General features: G+C 53.1%; 1 protein-coding gene and 1 long non-coding RNA gene across 5 annotated transcripts in view; one reads left to right on the forward strand and one right to left on the reverse strand.

Annotated features, from left to right (window-relative positions):
• Positions 766–15,656, forward strand: ASMTL-AS1 (ASMTL antisense RNA 1). Of its 2 annotated transcripts, NR_026711.1 has the most exons (6): positions 766–821; positions 1,697–2,460; positions 3,696–3,820; positions 12,978–13,123; positions 13,997–14,545; positions 14,978–15,656. It is a non-coding gene; the product is annotated as an ASMTL antisense RNA 1 (long non-coding RNA). The 2 variants fall into 2 exon arrangements; NR_026710.1 differs by lacking the exons at positions 13,997–14,545; positions 14,978–15,656 and having other exon boundaries at positions 12,978–13,821.
• The window catches only part of ASMTL (acetylserotonin O-methyltransferase like), a 50,618-nt gene continuing 29,754 nt past the window's right edge, over positions 3,374–24,237 (reverse strand). For all 3 annotated transcript variants that reach the window (NM_001173473.2, NM_001173474.2, NM_004192.4), the window contains 5 exons: positions 21,893–22,077; positions 19,217–19,349; positions 18,208–18,351; positions 12,967–13,089; positions 3,374–3,724 (listed from right to left, as the gene is read on the reverse strand). In NM_001173473.2, the coding sequence (NP_001166944.1) occupies positions 3,504–3,724; positions 12,967–13,089; positions 18,208–18,351; positions 19,217–19,349; positions 21,893–22,077 (806 nt within the window). In that variant the 3' untranslated portion in view covers positions 3,374–3,503. The remainder of the gene's footprint in view (positions 3,725–12,966; positions 13,090–18,207; positions 18,352–19,216; positions 19,350–21,892; positions 22,078–24,237) is intronic.

Consider the following 24,237-nt stretch of genomic DNA (forward strand, 5'->3'; position numbering starts at 1 on the left):
GTTCCAGACCAACCTGGCCAACATGGTGAAACCCCATCTCTACTAAAAACACAAAAATTAGGCGGGCATGGTGGTGGGTGCCTGTAATCCCAGCTACTCAGGAGGCTGAGACAGGATAACTACTTGATCCCGGGAGGTGGAGGTTGTAGTGAGCCAAGATCGTGCCATTGCACTCCAGCCTGGGCAACAGAGTGAGATTCTGTCTCAAAAAAGAAAAAAACAGACCAAAAAAAAAACGGAGTCTGTCCAGAATTATACACAGTCACCTGTGCCAGGTAACAACCCTTCAGTCAACAACGGCCTTCCTAGACAGCGGAGGTCCCAGGAGATGGTAATACAGTAGTTTTCGTGTGCCTTTATTTGTAGACACACAAATCCCTACCATTGTATTACAGCAGCCTGCAGCACTGGGCACACTCACCTGCTGTCCAGGTTTGTAGCCCGGGAGCCTGGGGCCCTGCCGCACAGCCCAGGTGAGTAGCAGGCTGTATGTGCCACGGCGGTATGTGTGAGTGCACCCCGTGATGGGCACACAAAGAGAATTGCCTAAGGATGCATTTCCCGAAACAGGTCCCTGTCATTCAGTGACACACGTGACTGTGTGTGTGTGTGTGTGTGTGTGCGCACAGATGGGTGTGTATGTGTATGTATACACACCTGAACACTCACACCTCTACACACGTGCCTGTACACGGATAGAACACATAATTTACAGAATTTATGGAACACATAATTTATATTACATAAAATATATAGAGATCAGTTTTGTTTTCTTTTATTTATTTATTTAGACGGAGTCTCACTCTGTCGCCCAGGCTGGAGTGCAGTGGCACAATCTCGGCTCACTGCAACCTCCACCTACTGGGTTCAAGCCATCCTCCTGTCTCAGCCTCCCCCCTGTAGCTGGGATTATAGGCTCCTGCCACTATGCCCGGCTAGTGTTTGTATTTTGTGTAGAGACAGGATTTCACTCTGTTGGCCAGGCTGGTCTCGAATTCCTGACCACAGGTGATCCGCCCACCTCAGCCTCCCAAAGTGCTGGGATGACAGGCGTGAGCCACTGCACCCAGCCTATTTCAGCTGTTTTCTTAAAGCACAAAGCAACCTACACATTCTTTTGTGATACCAGGCCACTGTAAGGGTGGAGCAGCATGTGACTTTGGTGTTATTGAGATCATCCGTGACCATTGCAGAAAACCACTCCCATCTGTGCAGTGAGCACCTTGAAATAGGCCGCCCAGGAGGCAGAGGGTGCACCTTGAAATTGGGCTAGGAGGCGGAGCTTGCGCCTTGAAATAGGCCGCCCGGGAGGCGGGGCTTGCACCTTGAAATAGGCCGCCCAGAAGGCGGGGTTGCACCTTGAAATAGGCCACCCAGGAGGCGGGGCTTGCCCCTTGAAATAGGCCGCCCAGGAGGCGGGGTTGCACCTTGAAATAGGCTGCCTGGGAGGCAGAGCTCGCACCTTGATATAGGCCGCCCAGGAGGCAGGGCTTGCCCCTTGAAATAGGCCGCCCGGGAGGTGGGGTTGCACCTTGAAACAGGCCGCCTGGGAGGCGGAGCTTGCACCTTGTAATAGGCCGCCCGGGAGGCGGGGCTTGCACCTTGAAATAGGCCTAGAAGGTGGGGCTTCCACCTTGAAATAGGCCGCCCAGGAGGCGGAGTTTGCACCTTGAAATAGACTGCCCAGGAGGCGGAGGTTGCAGTGAGCCGAGATTGCATTATTGTACTCCAGTCTGGGTAAGAAGAGCTAAACTCCAGAGTCTGTCTCAGAAAAAGGAAAACAGCTGAAATATAGGAGACTGACGCCCAGCCCAGGAACAGGTAAGCTGGGTGCACGCGCCGTGAAAACAGCACCTAGGCCTGCTCCGGTTCTCGCTTTGCAGATGCCTCCTGAACCTCAGTGCCTCCTAAGGTCAAGGCTGTGAGTTAAAGGGCTCCACCCCAGCCCAGCCCCAGGTTGGCCCAGCCATTCCCTGGTGGAGGGGCCAGGGAGGAAAGGGGGCTGTGTGGGCACCAGAGGGTGAACTGAGGTCTGAGGGTCGGGACACAGGCCGGGAACAGCAGCTGGGAGCGGAGCACGGGGGAAACGTGGATGCGCTGAGCTCCCTACAACCGCAGTGAGCATGTGCCCAGGAGGGCCTCACGGGGTGGGTGTGAGTCTGGCCTGCCTGGGCTCGGGGTGGGGGGTGTTTACAGACGCATTTCAGCCCCGCAGCAGGGGCTGGGGAGGTCCCGCTCGTGACAGTCTCTGCACCAAGGCAGGAGAGATGGAAGCCGCCCAGAGAACTGCCACTCCATAGCCTGTGGGCATCCAGGGGTGAGCGGCAGCGATGGCGCCCCATGGAGGAAACACACTGGAAATCGTGCAGAAGATGGGAAGATGCAGGCTGGAGTGCGGAGAAGGACTGAGACCCTGCCTGGTAGACGGCACCGTCACAGCAGCCGTCTGCCTGCTAGGAGGTAGGAGAAAGCCCTGTCCCCACCGCCCTCCCCGGGAGTCCCCACTGGCTACTCTGGAAGGCTGCTGGTTCCCAGAACATCCGTGGGCTGAACAGTTATTCCTGGCTGTCCCTCCGTCCCCTCCTCCCCGAATGCAGCCTCCATCTCCTCCTCTAAAAATGCAGCCTCCATCCCCTCCTCCCCCAATTCAGCCTCCGTCCCCTCCTCCCTGAATGCAGCCTCCTTCCCCCCTCCCAAAATTCAGCCTCTGTCCCCACTCCCCAAATACAGCCTCTTTCCCTTCCTCCCCCAATACAGCTTCCTTCCCAAAAGCAGCCTCCTTTCCCTCCTCCTCCCCAAATGCAGCCTCCTTCCCCCTCCCAAAATGCAGCCTCTGTCCCCACTCCCCAAATGCAGCCTCCTTCCCCTCCTCCCCAAATGCAGCCTCTTTCTCCTCGCTCCTCCCCAATGCAGCTTCCTTCCCCCTCCCAAAATGCAGCCTCTGTCCCCACTCCCCAAATGCAGCCTCCTTCCCCTCCTCCCCAAATGCAGCCTCTGTCCCCCTCCCCAAATGCCACCTCCTTCCCCCCTCCCCAAATGCAGCCTCTTCCCCTCCTCCCCGAATGCAGCCTCCTTCCCCTCCTCCCCGAATGCAGCCTCCTTCCCCTCCTCCCCGAATGCAGCCTCCTTCCCCTCCTCCCCGAATGCAGCCTCCATCCTCTCCTCCCCGAATGCAGCCTCCTGTCCTCCCCAAATGCAGCCTCTGTCCCCCCCTCCCCAAATGCCGTCTCCTTCCCCTCCTCCCCAAATGCAGCCTCTGTCTCCTCCTTCCCAAAAGCAGCCTCCTTCCCCCACTCCCCAAATGCAGCCTCTGTCTCCTCCTCCCTAAATGCAGCCGTCTCCCTCATCAAAACCCCTATGGAGGAGGCAGAGACAGGCTTTTGCTTTCTTTATTCAGTCACGACTACACGCTCCTATGTGACTGTCCTATGGTACTTGGGGACCGGGCGGTCCACCTGCAGCCTGGGGGAGGACATCCCTATAATGAACATGCTGCCTGGGCTTCAGGGGGCCACTTTGGTGGCCAAGATGGCATCCAGGACACCCCCCAAGTGCACCACCTGCACCTGGTGGAAGCCGTGCAGCTCCAGCAAGCACTGATACTCGCCCAGGCTCCGCTCCTTGCCTTCAGTCTGCACCAGCATGTTCAGTGACTGCATCAGGGCGCGCTGCGCCACCCTCTTCTCCTCATCCAGGAGCGTCTCCACCAGCAGCAGGCCGGCCCCTGAGGGAGACAGCAGAGAGCTGGAGTCCTGGCCAGCCAGGCGGGGATCCTTCAGCAGGACACAGGGGACACAGCAGGCAACAGGAGCTCAGAACGGTGAGCAGAGGCTGCTGAGAACCCTTGGCCAGGGGGCCCACACAGGTAGGGGAGGGGAGAGAGACAGAGACTTGATGCAGGGCGGACAGACAGGGAGAAGGAGATTTGATCGAAAGATGGATGGATAGATGGATGCATCACCTGGGCCTTTTCCGGTTCTCCTGGATGCATGGATGAACAGATGGTAGATGATGGGTGGGTAGGTAGGTAGAAAGATGTATGGATAGGTGGACGCATGGATGAGAAGGATGGATGGATGAACAGATGGTAAGTGATGGGGAGGTACATGGATGGATGGATAGATGGATGCATGTATGAGATGGATGGATGGGTGAATAGATGGTAGATGATGGGTAGGTAGGTAGATGAGTGGATGGACAGATGGATGCATGGATGTGATGGATGGATGGGTGAATAGATGGTACATGATGGGCAGGTAGACGGATGGATAGATGGATGCATGGACGAGATGGATGGATGGGTGAATAGATGGTACATGATGGGTAGGTAGGAAGATGAATAGATGGGTGCATGGATGAGATGGATGGTTGGGTGAATAGATGGTAGATGATGGGTACGTAGGTAGATGGATGGATAGATGGATGCATGGATGAGATGGATGGGTGAATAGATGGTAGATGATGGGTAGGTAGGTAGATGAATGGATGGATAGATGGATGCATGGATGAGATGGATGGATGGATGGGTGAATAGATGGTAGATCATGGGTACATAGATAGATGAATGGATGGATAGATGAATGCATGGATGAGATGGATGGGTGAATAGATGGTAGATGATGGGTAGGTAGGTGGATGGATGGATGGATGGATGCAGGCATGGATGAGATGGATGGATGGGTGAATAGATGGGTAGGTAGGTAGATAGATGGATGTATAGATGGATGGATGGATGGGTGAATAGATAGTAGATGATGGTTAGGTAAGTAGGTAGATGAATGGATGGATAGATGGATGCATGCATGAGATGGATGGATGGGTGTATAGATGATAGATGATGGGTAGGTAGGTAGACGAATGGACGGATAGATGGATGCATGGATGAGATGGATGGATGGGTGAATAGATGGTAGATGATGGGTAGGTAGATGAATGGATGGACAGATGGATGCATGGATGAGATGGATGGATGGGTGAATAGATGGTACATGATGGACAGGTAGATAGATGAATGGATGGATATATGGATGTATGGATGAGATGGATGGATGGGTGAATAGATGGTAGCTGATGGATAGGTAGGAAGATGAATAGTTGGATGCATGGATGAGATGGATGGTTGGGTGAATAGATGGTAGCTGATGGGTACGTAGGTAGATGTATGGATGGATAGATGGATGCATGGATGAGAGGGATGGATGGGTGAATAGATGGTAGATGATGGGTAGGTAGATGAGTGGATGGATAGATGGATGAATGGATGAATAGATGGTAGATGATGGGTACGTAGATAGATGAATGGATGGATAGATGGATGCATGGATGAGATGGATGGATGAGTGAACAGATGGTAGATTATGCGTAGGTAGGTAGATGAATAGATGGGTGCATGGATGAGATGGATGGTTGGGTGAATAGATGGTAGATGATGGGTACGTAGATAGATGAATGGATGGATAGATGGATGGATGGGTGAACAGATGGTAGATGATGGGTACGTAGATAGATGAGTGGATGGATAGATGGATGTGATGGATGGGTGAATAGATGGTAGATGATGGATCGTTAGGTGGATGGATAGATGGAGGCATGGATGAGATGGATGGATGGGTGAATAGGTAGGTAGGTAGATAGATGGATGTATAGATGGATGCATGGATGTGATGGATGGATGGGTGAATAGATAGTAGATGATGGTTAGGTAGGTAGATGAGTGGATAGATAGATGGATGCATGCATGAGATGGATGGGTGTATAGATGATGGGTAGGTAGGTAGACGGATGGATGGATAGATGGATGCATGCATGAGATGGATGGATGGGTGAATAGATGGTAGATGATGGGTAGGTAGATAGATGAATGGATGGATAGATGGATGCATGGATGAGATGGATGGATGGGTGAATAGATGGTACATGATGGGCAGGTAGATAGATGAATGGATGGATATATGGATGTATGGATGAGATGGATGGATGGGTGAATAGATGGTAGATGATGGGTAGGTAGGAAGATGAATAGATGGATGCATGGATGAGATGGATGGTTGGGTGAATAGATGGTAGCTGATGGGTACATAGGTAGATGGATGGATGGATAGATGGATGCATGGATGAGATGGATGGGTGAATAGATGGTAGATGATGGGTAGGTAGATGAGTGGATGGATGGATGAATGGATGAGTAGATGGTAGATGATGGGTACGTAGATAGATGAATGGATGGATAGATGGATGTATGGATGTGATGGATGGGTGAATAGATGGTAGACGATGGGTAGGTAGGTGGATGGATAGATGGAGGCATGGATGAGATGGATGGATGGGTGAATAAATGGGTAGGTAGGTAGGTAGATGGATGTATAGATGGATGCATGGATGAGATGGATGGATGGCTGAATAGATGGTAGATGATGGGTAGATAGATGAATGGATGGATGAGATGGATGGATGGGTGAATAGATGGTAGATGATGGGTAGGTAGGAAGATGAATAGATGGGTGCATGGATGAGATGGATGGTTGGGTGAATAGATGGTAGATGATGGGTAGGTAGGTAGATGGATGGATGGATTCATGGATGAGATGGATGGATAGGTGAATAGATGGTAGATGATGGGTAGGTAGGTAGATGAATGGATGGATAGATGGATGCATGGATGAGATGGATGGAGGGATGGGTGAATAGATGGTAGATGATGGGTACGTAGATAGATGAGTGGATGGATAGATGGATGTATGGATGTGATGGATGCTTGAATAGATGGTAGATGATGGGTAGGTAGGTGGATGGATGGATGGATAGATGGCATGGATGAGATGGATGTATGGGTGAATAGATAGGTAGGTAGGTAGATGGATGCATGGATGTGATGGATGGATGGGTGAATAGATAGTAGATGATGGTTAAGTAGGTAGATGAATGGATGGATAGATGGATGCATGCATGAGATGGATGGATTAGTGAATAGATGGTAGATGATGGGTAGGTAGGTAGATGAATGGATAGATACATGGATGCATGCATGAGATGGATGGATGGGTGAATAGATAATAGATGATGGGTAGGTAGATGAATGGATGGATAGATGGGTGCATGGAACAGATGGATGGATGGGTGAATAGATGGTAGATGATGGGTACATAGATAGATGAATAGATGGATGCATGGATGAGATGGATGGGTGAATAGATAGTAGATGATGGGTAGGTAGATGAATGGATGGATAGATGCATGGATTGGATGGATGGGTGAATAGATGGTAGATGATGGGTAGGTAGATGGATGGATGGATGGATGCATGCATGGATGAGATGGATGGGTGAACTGATGGTAGATGATGGGTAGATGGATGGATGGATGGGTGAACTGATGGTAGATGATGGGTAGGTAGATAGATGAATGGATGTATATAGATGGATGCATGGATGAGATGGATGGCTGGGTGAATAGATGGTAGATGATGGGTAGGTAGGTAGATGGATGGATGGATAGATGGATGCATGGATGAGATGGATGGATGGCTGAATAGATGGTACATGATGGGCAGGTAGATGAATGGATGGATAGATGGATGAGATGGATGGGTGTATTGATGGTAGGTGATGGGCAGGTAGGTAGATGAATGGATGGATATAGATGGATGCATTCATGAGATGGATGGATGGGTGAATAGATGGTAGATGATAGGTAGATAGATGAATAGATGGATAGATGGATGCATGGATGAGATGGATGGATGGGTGAATATATGGTAGATGATGGGTAGGTAGATGATGGATGGATGGATAGATAATAAATGATAGACAGATGACAGGTGACGGAGCATTGTTAGAAGGCCAGACGCAGTGGCTCACACCTGTAATCGCAGCACTTTGGGAGGCAGAGGTGGGAGGATGGTTTGAGCCCAGGAGTTTGAAACCAACCTGAGCAACATAGTGAGACCCTGTCTCTATTTTATTTTTTTTAAAAAAGGATGATAGATGTATAAAGAGAGACAGAGACAGGGTGGAGAGAGGGAGGAAGAGACAGAGAAGATAAAGGAGGAAGGAGGAGAGAAGAGAAACAGAGATTGATGATGATAGATGAGATACCTAAAAAGACACAGAGAGGAGGAGACAGAGAGGAAGAGGGAGAAGAGAGAGAAAGAGAGACAGAGGCCGGGTGCAGTGGCTCATGTCTTTAACCCCAGCATTTTGGGAGGCTGAGGCAGGAGGATCGCTTGAGCCCAGGAAGGGTAGCCTGGGCAACATCGCAAGATCCCATCTCTACAAAATTTAAAAAACCCTAACAGGGCATGATAACAAATGCTGGTACTCCCAAATACTCGGGAGGCTGAGGCAGGAGGATCGCTTGAGCGCAGGAGGTCAAGGCTGCAGTGAACTATGATGGCAACACTGCCCTCCAGCCAAATGCTGGTACTCCCAAATACTCGGGAGGCTGAGGCAGGAGGATCGCTTGAGTGCAGGAGGTCAAGGCTGCAGTGAACTATGATGACAACACTGCCCTCCAGCCAAATGCTGGTACTCCCAAATACTCGGGAGGCTGAGGCAGGAGGATCGCTTGAGCCCAGGAGGTCAAGGCTGCAGTGAACTATGATGACAACACTGCCCTCCAGCCAAATGCTGCTACTCCCAAATACTCGGGAGGCTGAGGCAGGAGGATCGCTTGAGTGCAGGAGGTCAAGGCTGCAGTGAACTATGATGACAACACTGCAGTCCAGCCAAATGCTGGTACTCCCAAATACTCGGGAGGCTGAGGCAGGAGGATCGCTTGAGCCCAGGAGGTCAAGGCTGCAGTGAACTATGATGACAACACTGCCCTCCAGCCAAATGCTGGTACTCCCAAATACTCGGGAGGCTGAGGCAGGAGGATCGCTTGAGCCCAGGAGGTCAAGGCTGCAGTGAACTATGATGACAACACTGCCCTCCAGCCAAATGCTGGTACTCCCAAATACTCGGGAGGCTGAGGCAGGAGGATCGCTTGAGTGCAGGAGGTCAAGGCTGCAGTGAACTATGATGGCAACACTGCCCTCCAGCCAAATGCTGCTACTCCCAAATACTCGGGAGGCTGAGGCAGGAGGATCGCTTGAGCCCAGGAGGTCAAGGCTGCAGTGAACTATGATGACAACACTGCCCTCCAGCCAAATGCTGCTACTCCCAAATACTCGGGAGGCTGAGGCAGGAGGATCGCTTGAGTGCAGGAGGTCAAGGCTGCAGTGAACTATGATGGCAACACTGCACTCCAGCCAAATGCTGCTACTCCCAAATACTCGGGAGGCTGAGGCAGGAGGATCGCTTGAGCCCAGGAGGTCAAGGCTGCAGTGAACTATGATGACAACACTGCAGTCCAGCCAAATGCTGGTACTCCCAAATACTCGGGAGGCTGAGGCAGGAGGATCGCTTGAGCCCAGGAGGTCAAGGCTGCAGTGAACTATGATGACAACACTGCCCTCCAGCCAAATGCTGGTACTCCCAAATACTCGGGAGGCTGAGGCAGGAGGATCGCTTGAGCCCAGGAGGTCAAGGCTGCAGTGAACTATGATGACAACACTGCCCTCCAGCCAAATGCTGGTACTCCCAAATACTCGGGAGGCTGAGGCAGGAGGATCGCTTGAGTGCAGGAGGTCAAGGCTGCAGTGAACTATGATGGCAACACTGCACTCCAGCCAAATGCTGCTACTCCCAAATACTCGGGAGGCTGAGGCAGGAGGATCGCTTGAGCCCAGGAGGTCAAGGCTGCAGTGAACTATGATGACAACACTGCACTCCAGCCAAATGCTGGTACTCCCAAATACTCGGGAGGCTGAGGCAGGAGGATCGCTTGAGCCCAGGAGGTCAAGGCTGCAGTGAACTATGATGACAACACTGCCCTCCAGCCAAATGCTGGTACTCCCAAATACTCGGGAGGCTGAGGCAGGAGGATCGCTTGAGCCCAGGAGGTCAAGGCTGCAGTGAACTATGATGACAACACTGCCCTCCAGCCAAATGCTGGTACTCCCAAATACTCGGGAGGCTGAGGCAGGAGGATCGCTTGAGCCCAGGAGGTCAAGGCTGCAGTGAACTATGATGACAACACTGCCCTCCAGCCAAATGCTGGTACTCCCAAATACTCGGGAGGCTGAGGCAGGAGGATCGCTTGAGCCCAGGAGGTCAAGGCTGCAGTGAACTATGATGACAACACTGCCCTCCAGCCAAATGCTGGTACTCCCAAATACTCGGGAGGCTGAGGCAGGAGGATCGCTTGAGCCCAGGAGGTCAAGGCTGCAGTGAACTATGATGACAACACTGCCCTCCAGCCAAATGCTGGTACTCCCAAATACTCGGGAGGCTGAGGCAGGAGGATCGCTTGAGCCCAGGAGGTCAAGGCTGCAGTGAACTATGATGACAACACTGCCCTCCAGCCAAATGCTGGTACTCCCAAATACTCGGGAGGCTGAGGCAGGAGGATCGCTTGAGCCCAGGAGGTCAAGGCTGCAGTGAACTATGATGACAACACTGCCCTCCAGCCAAATGCTGGTACTCCCAAATACTCGGGAGGCTGAGGCAGGAGGATCGCTTGAGCCCAGGAGGTCAAGGCTGCAGTGAACTATGATGACAACACTGCACTCCAGCCTGGGTGACAGAGGGGGACTCCTATCTCCACAAAAAACTTTTTTTTTTTTTTCTGAGACGGAGTCTTGCTGTGTTGCCCAGGCTGGAGTGCAGTGGCGCGATCTCTGCTCACTGCAACCTTCGCCTCCCAGGTTCAAGTGATGTCCTCTCTCAGCCTCCTGAGTAGCTAGAATTAGAGGCGTGCACCACTACGCCGGACTAATTTTTGTATTTTTAGTAGAGGCGGGGTTTCACCACGTGGCTTAGGCTGGTCTCGAACTCCTGACCTCGAGATCTGCCCGCTTTGGCCTCCCAAAGTGCTGGGATTACAGGTGTGAGCCACCGTGCCCGGTCTCAGAAAAAACTTCTTAAAAAATTAGCTGGGCATGGTGATGCATGATGCATGCCTGTACTTCCAGCTACTCGGGAGGCTGAGGTGGGAGGACAGCTTGAGCCTAGGAGGTCAAGGCTGCAGTGACCTGTGACTGCTCCACTGCACACCAGCCTGGGCAGCAGAGTGAGACCTCGTCTCAAAAAATATAATAGAGCCGGGCGAGGTGGCTCACGCCTGTAATCCCAACACTTTGGGAGTCCCAGCTGGGTGGATCACCCGAGGTTGGGAGTTCGAGACCAGCCTGACCAACATGGAGAAACCCTGTCTCTATTAAAAATAAAAAATTAGCCGGGCGTGGTGGTATGTGCCAGTAATCCAGCTACTCGGGAGGCTGAGGCAGGAGAATCACTTGAACCCTGGGGGTGGAGGTTACGGAGAGCCAAGATCGTGCCACTGCACTCCAGCCTGGGCGACAGAGCGAGACTCCGTCTCAAAAAAAAAAAAGAAGAGAGATACACAGAGAAAGAGAGAAAGAAGGAGAGACAGAGGGAGAGAAGAATGGAAGTCTCTTGACCATTTGAGCCTATGGGGAGTCCTGTTTCAACGCGCAGGTGCCAGGCCCTGGCTCTGTGAAGATAATTAACCGTTGTCTGCAAATATTCCAGGAATTCTCACTGGAGCAACAACGCTGAACTCTTGAGGGAGGCTGAGTGCCCGTCAGATTCCCTCAGGGCCAGCTGGTTCAACTGTGGAAACCCAATATGCAGCCCTGGCCCGAACCCCTGGAGCCAGGGTTTCCAGCAGCCCCACTGGGCTCCAGGAGCAGCCTGGGTGGACGGGGGAGAAACCTGATGTGAAGGCTTTGAGCCGAGATGGTGCGTGCTGTGTGTGTGTGCACGTGTGTCTGCGTAGAAACACACAGATTAGATCCAGCTGCAGAGTCCACTCATGCGTGGATTTCCCTCTGCCTCGGCCACCCCTGAGACAGCAACACCAGCCCACGGCTTCCTCCTCTGCAGCCTCCTCAGTGTGAAGACCTCCTCAAGAATGAAGACTTTTATCATGAGCCACTTCAACTTCACGAATAGTAAATATATTTTCTCTTTAGGATTTTCTTTTTTTTTTTTTTTTTTTTTTTTGAGATGGAGTCTCGCTCTGTTACCCAGGCTGGAGTGCGGTGGCGCAGTCTCGGCTCACTGCAACCTCCGTCTCCAGGTTCAAGCGATTCTCCTGCCTCAGCCTCCTGAGTAGCTGGGATTACAGGCACCCGCTATCAAGCCCGGCTTATTTTTTGTGTTTGTTTTTAATAGAGACGGGGTTTCACCATGTTGGCCAGGCTGGTCTCAAACCCCCGACCTCAGGTGATCCGCCCGCCTCGGCCTCCCGAAGTGCGGGGATGACAGGCGTGAGCCACCACACCTGGCCACACTGGCCAACTTTAAATACAGCAGATTTACCCTCCACAATTTAGCGGGCCTCTCACCCAGACGCTGGACCTGCCAACCTCCAAAGTCACATAAGCCAATTCTTTTTTTGTTGTGGTTGTTCTTTTTTGACACCGAATCTCACTCCGTCGCCCAGGCTGGAGTGCAGTGGCGCGATCTCGGCTCACTGCAGTCTCCAGCTCCCGGGTTCAAGTGATTCTCCTGCCTCAGCCTCTGAAGTACCTGGGATTACAGGTGCGCACTACCACACCTGGCTAATTTTTGTATTTTTAGTAGAGACGGGGTTTCACCATGTTGGCCAGGCTGGTCTCGAACTGCTCACCCCGGGTGATCCACCTGCCTCAGCCTCCCAAAGTGCTGGGATTATAGGCATGAGCCACCACGCCTGGCTAATTTTTGTATTTTTAGTAGCGATGGGGTTTCACCACGTTGGCCAGGCTGGTCTGAAACTCCTGACCTCAGGTGATCCGCCCGCCTCGGCCTCCCAAAGCGCTGGGATGACAGGCGTGAGCCACCGCGCCCGGCCTCCTTGTAAAACTTGAACCCAAAATACTACGTCTTAACAAAAACAGCTAACCTGACGATGGGCTCTCACCTGGCTTGCAGCTCTCGGCGACCCTGCTGAGTAACTTGTGGACTTTGTCGTCTGGCCAGTCATGCAGGATCCGGCACAGGACGTACAGCTCAGCGCTGGGGAGGGGGTCCCTGAAAAAGTCACCTGGTTTAAAGACAAAACGAGATACGTCCGTCAGGTATGGAAGAAGCAGTCCTCCCCGGACAGATCCTGGGACGGCCACCCGCATCCTAAATCAGGGACAGAGAAGAGAGGGGTGTGGGCGGGAATGGGTCTTCCTGAAGTACATCCCCGTGGGGACTTGAACAGAGCTCCATGAGGAGCTGGTTAGTGATGTCACGCCCGTGCGGTTTGACTCGGGCTGAGAAAACGCTGGGGACAGTGGCTCACACCTGTAATCTCAGCATTTTGGGAGCCTGAGGTGGGCAGATTGTCTGAGCTCAGGAGTTCGAGACCAGCCTGGGCAACACGGCGAAACCCCATCTCTACTAAAAATGCAAATTAGCTGGACAGGGGTGGCGGGCGCCTGTCATCCCAGCTACGCGGGAGGCTGAGGCAGGAGAATCGCTTGAACCTGGGAGGTGGAGGTTGCAGTGAGCCGAGATCGCGCCATCGCACTCCAGCCTGGGCGACAAGAAGGCAAGGGAGGAAAAAAGCAGGGAATTCAGGGGCAGCACCTGGGCGAGGCAGGCAGAGTCGGCGCACATGGGCGTGTGCCAGGGAGAGTCGGGGCCGCACTGCCGGTGAGTGGGCAATGGCAGGGCCTTCTCTGGTGATCCCCTGATTCAGGCGCCCCAGGAGGGTTGCCTGTTGCGGGGGGCGCATGTAGCTGCACGCCCCTCTGTAATTGCTGAAATAAAAAGATGGTCTGCTGTAGTGCAGTGAATGGTGTCCCCTTAAAAGATATATTCAGGTGCTGACCCTCAGTCGCTGGGAATGGGACCTTATCTGGAAATAGGGTCTCTATGGATGTCATTGAGTAAAGAATTTCAAAATGAGATCATCCTGGAGTAGGGTGTCCCCTAAATCCAATGACAGGTGTCCTTCTAAGAGACAGAAGAGGAGACAGACACAGAGGAGAAGGCCACGTGGAGACGGAGGCAGAGACTGGAGTGATGCGGCCACAAGCCCAGGGACGCCTGGAGCCCCCAGGAGCTGGAAGAGGCGGGAAGGATCCTCCCCTAGAGCCTCTCAGAAAGAATCAAACACAACTGCAATGGGTTGGGTGGTGACGTCCAAAAGATCTGTCCAAGTCCTAAGCCCCAGAACCTGGGAATGGGACCTCATTTGGATAAAGTTTCTTTGCAGATGTAATTAAGGATCTGGAGATGGGATCATCCTGGAGTAGGGTGGGCCCTAAATGCAATGGCAGGTGTCCTTCTAAGAGACAGAAGAGGAGACACACAGAGGAGAAGGCCACGTGGAGATGGAGGCAGAGACTGGAGTGATGCGGCTACAAGCCCAGGGACACCCGGAGCCCCCAGGAGCTGGGAGAGGCAGGAAGGATCCTCCCCTAGAGCCTCCAGAGGGAGCACAGCCCTGAGATGCCTTGATCTCAGACCTCCGGTCTGCAGGACAGGGAGAGGATAAATAGCAAGCTGTGAGTTGCATGAGGGGAAAGAAGGGGCGGGAGAGTGTGCGGTGGGAAGTCTCCAGAGCTGTTTTCCCCCAGCTGCGAGGAGAAGGTGCTCTTTCAGGGCTCATGATTTTAAACTTTAGCATTTCCGGCCGGGCGGGGTGTAATCCCAGCACTTTGGGAGGCCAAGACGGGTGGATGACCTGAGGTGAGGAGTTCGAGACCAGCCTGGCCAACATGGTGAAACCCCATCTGTACTAAAAATACAAAAGTTAGCCAGGCGTGGTGGCGGGCACTTGTCACCCCAGCTACTCGGGAGGCTGAGGTGGGAGGATCCCTTGAACCCAGGAAGTGGAGGTTGCAGTGAGCTAAGATCACGCCACTGCACTCCAGCCTGGGTGACAGAGCGAGACACCATTCAAACATAAATAAATTTCAGCATTTCTGTCTCTGCAGATCTGGCAAATCAGAAGCACAGCTATCATGATGTCCTGCAGGAGGAGCTGTAGGGTGGTTGCGTTTTGTTTTTTTAAAAACGAGAAAAGCATCCAGGAACCTCTGGGGGAGGGTTGTGGAGGTCCCCAGCACCTGTGCCCACAGGCCTGGCCGCTGTCGGATGGTGCTGAGTTACAGCACGTCAGCTGTCTCTTTTTTTATTTTTTTATTTTTTTTGAGATGGAGTTTTGCTGTGTTGCCCAGGCTGGAGTGCAGTGGCGCGATCTCGGCTCACGGCAAGCTCCGCCTCCCGGGTTCAAGCGATTCTCCTGCCTCAGCCTCCTGAATAGGTGGGATTATAGGCACCCGCCACCATGCCTGGCTAATTTCTGTAATTTTAGTAGAGATGGGGTTTCACCATGTTGCTCTGGCTGGTCTCAAACTCCTGACCTCAGGTGATCCACCCGCCTCAGCCTCCCAGAGGGCTGGGATTCCAGGCGTCTCCTGTCAATCCGTCCTGGCCTCAGCAGCTGCCACCTGGAAGTTCTCCTTCAAGTCTAACCTAAGGCCACACTGTGACGGCTCTCGGGTCAGTTCCTTCCGTGACCTCGGCACCGTGGATGCCCATGAATGCTGATCTCGGCTGTTCCCCATCTCCACTCCCCTCACGTCTCGGCTACTTGCACTGATGATAACTTCACACAGTCGTCCACCTGTTTATTTTTATTTATCATTATTATTATCATTGTCTTTTTTTTTTTGAGATGGAGTTTCGCTCTTGTTGCCCAGGCTGGAGTGCAGTGGTGAGATCTCAGCTCACTGCAACCTCCGCCTCCCAGGTTCAAGCGATTTTCCTGCCTCAGCCTCCTGAGTAGCTGGGATTACAGGCGCCCGCCACCACGCCCGGCTAATTTTTGTATTTTTAGTAGAGATGGGGTTTCGCCATGTTGGCCAGGCTGGTCTCGAACTCCTGACCACAGGGGATCCGCCCGCCTCAGCCTCCCAGAGTGCTGGGATTACAGGCGTGAGCTACTGTGCCCAGCCTTGTCCACCTGTTTGGAGATGCCCTCGTGTCTGTGTGGACCCGCAGAGAGACACGCACAGGCAGACCCACGGACGCACAGACACAGACACAGGCACACACACATATACCCATCCAGATGCACAGAAATGCAGACACAAAGGCACACATGCAAGCACACGCCACAAGACATGCACACACGGACACATGCAGGACACAGATACACTGACAGGTACACACATGGACACACAGATACAGCAAGACAGGCACACACACACACACGGACACAGATACAGTGACAGGCACACGCGCACAGAGACAGACATGCACAGATGGGCACACTCACGCACGGACACACAGTGATACACCAACAGGCACACACAGACGCAGACATGCACAGATGGGCACACACACATGGACATACAGATATAGCGACAGGCACACACAGACGCAGACATGCACAGCAACAGGCACACACAGACGCAGACATGCACAGATGGGCACAGACAGACACGCACGGACACACAGATACACCAACAGACAGGCACGCACACAGACGCAGACATGCACAGCTGGACACACACACACACGGACATACAGATACAGTGACAGGCACACACAGACGCAGACATGCACAGATGGGCACACACACACACGGACATACAGATACACCAACAGACAGGCACACGCACATAAACATAGACATGCACAGATGGACACGCAGACACACATGGACATACAGATACAGCGACAGGCACACACACACGGATGCAGACATGCACAGATGGGCACACGCACGGACACACAGAGATACCCCAACAGGCACACAGACGCAGACACACAGACATACACACATATACCCACACAGACGCACAGAAACACACATACCCTCACACATATGCAAGCACACACCACAGAGAGTTGCACACACACAAACGCAGATGCAGACACAGAGACACATTCTTACGCACGCACACACAAGGACATACCACACACAGTCAGTCATGCACACACAGACACATGCACACACAGACGTACACACAAGCACAGCAGTGACATGCACACACACCATGCACACAGATACAGATGGGCACACAGACATGCACACACAGACATGTACACATATATCCACAGACACGCAGACACACATACCCTCAGAGACATACACACCACAGAGGTGCACACACACACACGGACTCAGACACAGAGACATTCTGACGTACAGACACGCATGCAAGGACATACCACACAGAGATGTGCACACACAGACTCAGAAACACACAGAGACACAGACACAAGCACAGCAGATGCTCACATATCCACACAGACACACACCATGCACATAGATGCAGACACACAGACAAGCACACCCAGACACATGCACACAGACACACAACCACAGCAGTCACATATGCACACAACCACCGGCCCACAGCATGCACACAGATGCAGACGTACACACAGACACATGCACACAGGGACACACAACCACAGCAGTCACATACACACACACACCTACCAGCACACAGCATACACACAAATGCAGACACAGACGGGCACACAGACGCACATACACAGACATGCACACATATATCCACACGGATGCACACACATCACCTCACAGAAACATATGCAACCACACACCACAGAGACTTGCAGACACGTGGACACACAGTCTCATGCACAGACACACACACAAGGACATACTACACAGACGTGCACACACAGTTACATATGCACGGAAGACACACACCATGCACACAGATACAGACACAGACATGCACACACACACACATGCACACAGACACACAAGCACGACAGTCATATGCACACAGACACCCACCGGCTCACAGCATGCACACAGATGCAGACACACACACACAGACATGCACACATATACCCACACAGACACACACACATACTCTCACAGAAACATATGCAACCACACACCAGAGACGTGCACACACATGCGGATGCAGACACACACACACACAGACATGCTCACGCACAGACATGCTCCATGTCACAGGTATGCTCCAGGGCATACCACACACATGCACACAGAGAGACACACACACACAAGCACCGTAGACAGTCCCATTTGCACACACATACCCACCATGGAAACGCCCAGGCAGAAACACAGGTGCACACACAGCCATGCCCTCTGTCTAGAAAGAGATGCTGCAGTCTGGAAAAGGTTAGCAGGGTGAACAGGAGGAGGGCTCACCTGCTGCGAAGTGGATCTGCACTGCCTGCGGTCCGGGGGGTTGGAAGTGGGCGGCCAGCTCGATAATGTCTGGGAGGTCAAACACAGTCACCTGCATACGAGGGTACTCACGGGCCAGCTCTCGGGCCAGTGCACCCGTGCAGCCTGCGGGGAAGCAAATGCATGCTCTGTGGCTGGGTCGTCTATGGAACTCTGACGACTCTCCAAAGCTCAACTGGGGCAGAAGTAATGTTCAAGGGCATGGCATTGATTCCCATGCTGGAAGGGAAAGCCAGTGGTGGGGAGCTCGCTGGTATCCCAGACAAGACTGTACAAGCAGGTGAGTGTGGGGGCACAGACCTGCAGGGAAATCCTTCCAGCCCAGGGGTGGAGGGCTGTACTCCCTTCTCCTTCCTGCCGTGGGGATGTAGACACAATGGCCGGTGCTACAGCAGCCACTCTGGGCCACGTGTAGGGGGCACAGACCTACAGGGAAATCCTTTCTGCCCAGGGGTGGGGGCTGTACTCCTCCCTTCTCCTTCCTGCCATGGGGATGCAGACACGATGGCTGGTGCTACAGCAGCCACTCTGGACCACAAGGAGGAGAGGCATTCAGAGGTTGGGGAAATGTAAGCTGATGGTGTGAGAATCGTCCCAGGCCCCGATCCCCCAGCAGCCCTTGGGAATGTGTCTACTGCTCCACCCACTGTCCAGGGCTGGGGTGGGGTGGAGGGTGAGTCAGGATATAATCAGACTTGCTGAGGGGAATCCAGGGGTTCCAAGGTGCTCTGCCTCAGCTCCGCAGCCAAAAGAGAGGGCCCCGGAGTTTCTAGGGGGGCATTTAGGCATCCCCGGGGTCCTCCTGGAACTTGGGAATATCCACCCATGATCTGGGACTCAGCCTGGCCCGGTTCAGGTCGTTATCAGGTTTGTCAATGGAAAAAGGCAGTTGGTAGGTGTCCTGAGCAGGGAAGATACCTGTGGCTTAATAAACGAAAGTAAGGAGAGCCCTGGCGGGGGGGCCACCCACCTCCCACGTCGCAGGCGGAGGAGAAGCGGGACAGATTGAAGGCCGTGGCCACCTGGCACGCAGTCAGCTTCGTCATGCCGTGCATGGCCCGCATGAACCTCAGCCGCGTCTCCGGGCTCTGGTAGTACGCATCCTGGAACACAGCAGGTGCTTAGGGGCACCAGAGAACACGGGGCGAGGGCTCGCCCAGCCTCTCCCTGGGGGTCGGGGGGAGAAGTGCAGGGCTCCAGAGCGTGGGGGCTCAGCCGCGCCTGGGCTGCAGAGCGGGCTTCATGCCACAGCTGTGTGGGCTACTCTTGTCTGTGTGGGGGCTGGGCTGGCTGGGGACAGAGGACCCCAAAGTGGTGGACGATCTCCTTGGAATCACTTGGTCCACACCACAGCCTGAACTCCAAGCGTCTGACTTTCGCAGTAGGCTTTTCACAATAAAGCTTTTCACCCTGGAGGCTCCGGGTGGCCCACAAACACCTCACTGGAGAAAACCAGGAGAGAAGCCACAATGTCTCTGCAGGTGCCCCGGCTCAGCCTTCACCACAATGGTGCGGTGTGCAGAGGGGGCTCCTCCGAGAATTCTGGTGTGCAGAGGAGAAGCTCCTCCGAGCTTCTCCAAGTCCCCCCAGTGGCACCTACCCCGGGTCCCAGAGGAGCCCAGGCTCATCCTGGCTCAGTGCTGTGTCCAGGGTTCGCCTGGACATCCCGTCCCTGCAGGGCAAGCAAGCCCAGCTGAGGATGCTTCTGAGCCCCGCTCCCAGCAGGACAGCCGGTCTCCATCCTGGCTCCCTAAATCTCGCGGGGGCTCCCCGGCCCTCCCCTGCGTGGGTGGCAATCATGGGGCTCAGGGATCTGTCCTCTGCGATGCCCACGCTGGCTGCTCACGCCAGCTCAGGGCCCCTGTCCGTGCCTCTCGGCTTCTCCACCACTGGCTTCTCTCTCTGACTCTTTCTCCCTTGGTCTCTGTCTGTCTGTCTCTGTCTCCGTCTGTGTGTCTCTGTCTTCCTCTTTCTCTCTCTCTGTTTCTGTCTCCTGTCTCTGTTTCTTTCTATCTCCCTCTGTCTCTGTCTCTATGTCTGTCTCCTGTTTCTGTCTCTATCTGCCTCTATCTCTGTCTCTCCAAGCCTCCCTGTCTCTGTCTCCCATCTCCCTCTATGTGTCTGTCTGTCTCCATCTTTGTTTCTGTCTCCCTATCTCTGTCTCCGCCTCCCTCTGTCTCTCAAGTCTCCCTGTCTCTCCATCTCTCTCCCTATCTCACTATCTGTCTCCCATCTCCGTGTCTGTCTCACTCTATCTCTGTCTCTGTCTTTCTGTCTCCCTGTTTCTGTCTCCCTCTATCTCCCTGTCTCTGTCTGCCTCCATCTCTGTCTGTCTCTGTCTCCCTCTATCTTTCTGTCTGCCTATCTCTCTCTCTGTGTCTCCCTGTCTGTATGTCTCTCCCCAACATCTGCAGGAAGCCCCCGGCTCCCTGGGGCTCATCTCTGCATCACACACACACACCCTGACTCCGTGCTCACTGCCACAGAAGCTCGGCCAGCGCTGCCAAGGAGGCATGAGGCCACGGCCAGCCGAGCCCACAGCAGACTCCCCACGCCTGGCTGGCACAGCCCTGCAGACCGAGACCCACCCATCTGCACAGGCCCCACGGACCCCACCATATCTCACACGTCCACCTCAGGAAGGTTCTGGGCGGGGAAAGGGGAAGGAGGGGCGAGAGGATGCAGGGAGCGCTTTGCAAACAGCGGCCTCAGATAAGCAAGTGTCAGTTCCATTGAAGCAAAGAAGAAACAGGGCATTCATTTAAGGCAGCCTGTCCAACTCCTTCCTATTTCTATTTTTCAGACAGAGTCTTGTTCTGTCACCCGGGCTGGAGTGCAGCAGCACCATCACGGCTTACACTGCAGCCTTGACCTCCCAGGTTCAAGTGATCTTCCCACCCACCTGGGCCTCCCAAAGTAGCTGCCTAATCATACCTGGCTAATCGTTAATTTTTTTTTTTTTTTTTGAGATGGAGTTTCGCTCTGTCACCCAGGCTGGAGGGCAGTGGCGTGATCTCAGCTCACTGCAACCACCACATCCCGGGTTCAAGTGATTCTCCTGCCTCAGCCTCTTGAGTAGCTGGGACTACAGGCACGCGCCATCATCCCCAGCTAATTTTTTTTTTGTATTTTTAGTAGAGATGGGGTTTCAGCACGTTGGCCAGGTTGGTCTCGCACTCCTGACCTCAGGTGATCAGCCCACCTTGGCCTCCCAAACTAGCTGGGATTACAGGCTCATGCCACCATGCCCAGCCTAACTGTTAATTTTTTGTAGAGATGGGGGTCTCACTATGTTGCCCAGGCTGGTCTCAAACTCCCGGGCTCAAATCATCCTCCCAACTTGGCCTCCCAAAGTGCTGGGAGTGACAGGTGTGAGCCCCTGAGCATGGCCTTCAAACCTGTTTCTAGGAGGAAATTCTATTTTCATCAGCTGCTGGATAACAGTGGAGGATGTCTAAGTTGCACCTGTTCCAGGGCTGAGTGACACAAGAGCCACGGCACTAAGTTCTCCAGGCAGAACGAGCCAAGCCTTTGGGATCTGTCAGACTGGAGACAGACTGGTCAAGGTGCCTACTGATCTGTGTGTCAAAGTGTTTTAGCAAAATGCACGCTAGACGGAAAGGTGTCCGCGGGGGTGTTATGCTACCTGGAACAGATCTTCCGCCTTCTTCCCCAACGCCCTGTGGTGCTGGTTTGTTCCCTCTCGGATGGCAAACTCCAGGTATGTAAAGAGGTTCCATGTGAGGTCATTATTGTGCATGATGAAGCCGTGCAGAGAGTATTCGCCATCCGATGCCAGGTAGACGTTCGCTGTCTCTGTGTTACTGTAACCTGGAGAAATGGGGACAGTCGTGTGACCTCCTAACGAGAAAACCCAAGGAAACCTGACCGTAGGGGATGTATCATTGAGATGTTAAAATAAACATCACCCATCTGACTATAGCAAACCGTACACTCAAGGAAACCTGACCATAGGGGATGCATCATTGAGATGTTAAAATAAACATCATCCATCTGACTATAGCAAACTGTACACTCAGGGTCAGCTGGGCAGGAAAACAGCAGCCACCACGCCCCAGCTGTCAACTGCTGTAACTGTTACCCACTGAGGCTGATCCTTTCTTCATGATCGTGGCCACGCTCAAGTTCCCAGTTATGCAGGCAAACACCCATCTAGATGTGGCTGTGGAGGTGTGCTGTAGCTGGCGTTTGCATCTACCATCAGTTTGACTTTAAGGAGATTAACCCCCCAAAATGTGCATTGGCCTCATCCAGCTCATTGAAAACCCCAGAAGCAAACATTGGGCTTTCCTGGAGGAGAAATTCCACTTGAAGATGGCAGCAGCAGCTCCTGCCTGAGCTTCCAGCCTCCTGGCCTGCCCTGTGGATTTTGGACTTGCCAGCCTACACAATCACGTAAGTCCTCAAGATAAATCTCCTAGGTTATATCCTAGGGGTTCTGTTACCCTGGAGAGCCCCAAATGATACAGGGAACTTCATTCTCCACCCACTTCATGCCCAGGTCAGCTGTCCATAGACCCAGTCCCCAAGCTCCCTTCCAGGATGCCCCCTCCCACAGAATGGGAGGCTGGAAGGTGGAGAAGTTGTTGGTGGAGACCCGTATATGGAAACAGATGGCCTCGCACCACTCCGGTCCTCCTATGTAAGAAACAGCCCTGTGTTCATGTTAATGATGAAATGTTACTGTTTTCCCACCGAGCTGACCCTGAGTGTACGGTTTGCTATAGTCAGATAGATGACATTTATTTTCATCATGAATAAATGATGAGACCTATGGTGAAGCAGGAGCAGCCTCTGCAGACGTGGAACTGCTCCTAGGACTCAACTGCACAAAGCGTTGTCAAAAGGAGTTGGAACAAGCTTGCATGGTGCCGGTGATGAAAAGCCTTTCTCCATATTCATCATTATTTTCTTTCTTTTAATTTTTTAATTTTTTTTGAGATGGAGTCTCACTCTGTCCCCCAGGCTGGAGTGCAGTGGCACGATCTCAGCTCACTGCAAGCTCCGTCTCCTGGGTTCATGCCATTGTCCTCCCTCAGCCTCCCGAGTAGCTGGGACTACAGGCACCCGCCACCGTGCCCGGCTAATTTTTTGTATTTTTAGTAGAGACGGGGTTTCACCGTGTTAGCCAGGATGGTCTTGATCTCCTGAACTCGTGATCTGCCTGCCTTGGCCTCCCCAAGTGCTGGGATTACAGGCGTGGCCTATTCATCATTATTTTCAATACGGGAGAATGGTCCTGAACTGCTCTGGCTGGGGAAGATGTTCTGGCTTCTATGTTCCAGCCTCTAAGGATATAGTCACATGTCTCTGTGGTAAGGGCACAGCCTTTGGAGCCTCAACCAGGGCATGCTTTGTCTCCTAATCACAGAAGCACAGCCACCTCTGCCCAGGTGTCATCTGTTGTCCTGCCCTTCCCAGGCTACTCAAGGACTTGGTCATGTGCTCTCTATTCTAGCACCATGCTGAAGAGTTCTGTTCAATTCAGAAAACACATTGTCATCCATCCATCCATCCACCCACTCACCCACCCATCCAGTTATCCACTCACCCACCCATCTAGTCATCCACCCACCCATCTGCTGATCCACCCATTCATCACTCATCTATGCATTCCCCCACCCATCCAATCCACCGATCCACCCATCTACCCACTCATCCATCCATTCCCCCACCCAGCTACCCATCCAGCAATCCACTGATACATCTATCCATCCATCCTCCCATCCATCCGTCCACCCACCCATCCATCTATTCACCCACCCTCCCAATCATCCACCCAGCCATGCACCCATCCATCCACTCATCCATCCATTCACACGCCCACCCATCCACATGCCCACTCATCCATCCATCCACCTACCCATCCATCTATTCACCCATCCACTGATGGATCCACTGATCCATGCACCCATGCATGCATCCATACATCCACATCCATTTATCCATTCATTCCCCCACCCATCCAAT

The sequence above is a fragment of the Homo sapiens genome, chromosome X, assembly GCF_000001405.40.
Source record: "Homo sapiens chromosome X, GRCh38.p14 Primary Assembly".
NCBI classification, from domain to species: domain Eukaryota; kingdom Metazoa; phylum Chordata; class Mammalia; order Primates; family Hominidae; genus Homo; species Homo sapiens.